This window comes from Homo sapiens (assembly GCF_000001405.40).
Source record: "Homo sapiens chromosome 9 unlocalized genomic scaffold, GRCh38.p14 Primary Assembly HSCHR9_UNLOCALIZED_CTG3".
Lineage (NCBI taxonomy): Eukaryota > Metazoa > Chordata > Mammalia > Primates > Hominidae > Homo > Homo sapiens.
The window spans coordinates 170,035-171,849 of NT_187374.1; the positions used below are offsets into that span (position 1 = coordinate 170,035).

Here is a 1,815-nt window from a genome sequence, read left to right on the forward strand (position 1 = left end):
CGCAGAGCAGGGCAGGTGGCACCAACAGCGGGTCCCTCAGGCCTCGAGCGCACGCATTCCAGTGGCCACCCAGACCATGCTCCGCCGACTGGGCGCACAAGCTGCAGTCGCCCTCTGTGTGCAGCAGCAGCTGCCTGGCAACCCCCGAGCCCGCTCGCGCTGCCAGCATCGCAGAACCAGGGCCAGGTGTCCCAGTGGCTGCGGCCAAGCCAGGCATTCTGGCCGGCGGCGGCGGCTGCACAGGAGCGAGAACTGAGAACCCGCCGCTCAACCCCACACGGGTGACTGCCGAGTGCCCATACCAACGGCCCCGATCTCCCTCAGGTGGAGGACTGGGCGGGAGGCACAGCCTGGGGGCCCTCAGGCTGGGCGCGCTGGCGATCCCGAGGCCGACCAGGCCATGCACCTCCAGCTCGCCTGGGCACCCAAGCTGCAGCCACCTTCTGTGTGCAGGCAGCAACCTCCAGGCAACTCCCGAGTCCGCCCTCACTTCCCACATCTCGGAACGAGGGCCAGATGTCCCTGTGGCTGCGGCCAAGCCAGGCGGTCTGCCCTGCAGCAGCTGCACGGGGGCGGGAACCGGCCCTCAGCCCTATCCCCCGTGGCTGCAGAGGGCCCTTGGCTAGAGGTGTCGAGCTCTGGCAGAGGAGGAGCCGGGCGGGGGCAGGGTCTGGCGGGCTCTCAGGCCAGGGGCACTCGCGATCCAGAGGCCGCCCAGGCCATGCTCCACCACCTGGGCGCCCAGCTACAGGCGCCAGGCAACTCCCAAGCTGGCTGGCGCGCCCAGCCTCGCAGACCTGGGCGTGGATGTCGCCGTGGCTGCGGCCAAGCCAGGCGGTCTGCCCGGCGGCGGCTGCACCGGGGCAGGAACCGACCCTCAGCCCCATCCCCGGTGGCTGCGGACGGCCCCTGGAGAGGCCCCGACCTCTCTTCGGAGGAGAAGAGGGGCGGGAGTCAAGGACAGGCAGGCCCTCAGGCGGGAAGGGATGCGTGCCTGCGATTCCGGGACATACCGCGCCAGCCCAGGAGAACCCGGAAGCCCGCAGCGCCTGTTTCTCTGTGTGATTCTGTGAGGAACCACCAAATTGTTTTCCACGGCAAGTGCATCATTTTCTATTCCTAGCAGCCAGTTCATAAGGGCTCCAATTTCTCCACCTCCTTAGCAACACTGATTTTCTGTGTCGTTGTTATGAAAGCCTTACTAGTGGATGCAAAGTGGCATCTCATTTGGGTTTTGTCTTGCATTTTATTAATGAATAACGGTGTTTAGCATCTTTTCTTGTCCGTCTTAGACATTTGTGTATCTTCTTCGGAGAAATGTCTATTCAAGTCCTTTGCCTATTTTTTAATTGGGATGTTAGAAATTCTGACGTTGAGTTGTGGGATATTAAGCTTTTATCAGATACGCACTTTGATTTTATCAGATACATATTTTCTCACATACTATGGGTTGTCTTTTAACTCCCTTGATAGTATCCTTTGATGCATAAAGGTTTTTTATTTTGATTAAATCTAATTTACGTGTATTTTCTTTTGTTATCTGTGCTTTTCTGTCATATTTCAAAATACACTTAAAACTCAAAGGTCATAAAGGTTTACCTTGTGTTTTCTTCTAAGAGTTACATACTTTAGTCCTTACATTTAAGTCTTTTATTAATTTAGAATTAATTTTTGTGTATACTGCAAGGTAGGGGTCTAACTTCTCTCTTGTGCACTGACATCCAGCTGTTGGAGAGACTGTTCTTTCCTCCCTTGACTAGACTTGGACAGCTTGTTGAACAGTCATTGACCATATATGTGAGCACTAATTTGTAG

At 56.0% G+C, this 1,815-nt stretch overlaps 1 protein-coding gene across 1 annotated transcript; it reads left to right on the top strand.

Moving 5' to 3' along the window:
* The first annotated feature begins 300 nt into the window (after positions 1 to 300).
* LOC107987372 (uncharacterized) lies at positions 301 to 1,123 on the top strand. Its single transcript, XM_017030109.1, has one exon. It carries the CDS (start codon positions 401 to 403, stop codon positions 1,121 to 1,123), a length of 723 nt encoding a protein of 240 aa, XP_016885598.1. The 5' UTR covers positions 301 to 400.
* Positions 1,124 to 1,815: the final 692 nt, after the last annotated feature.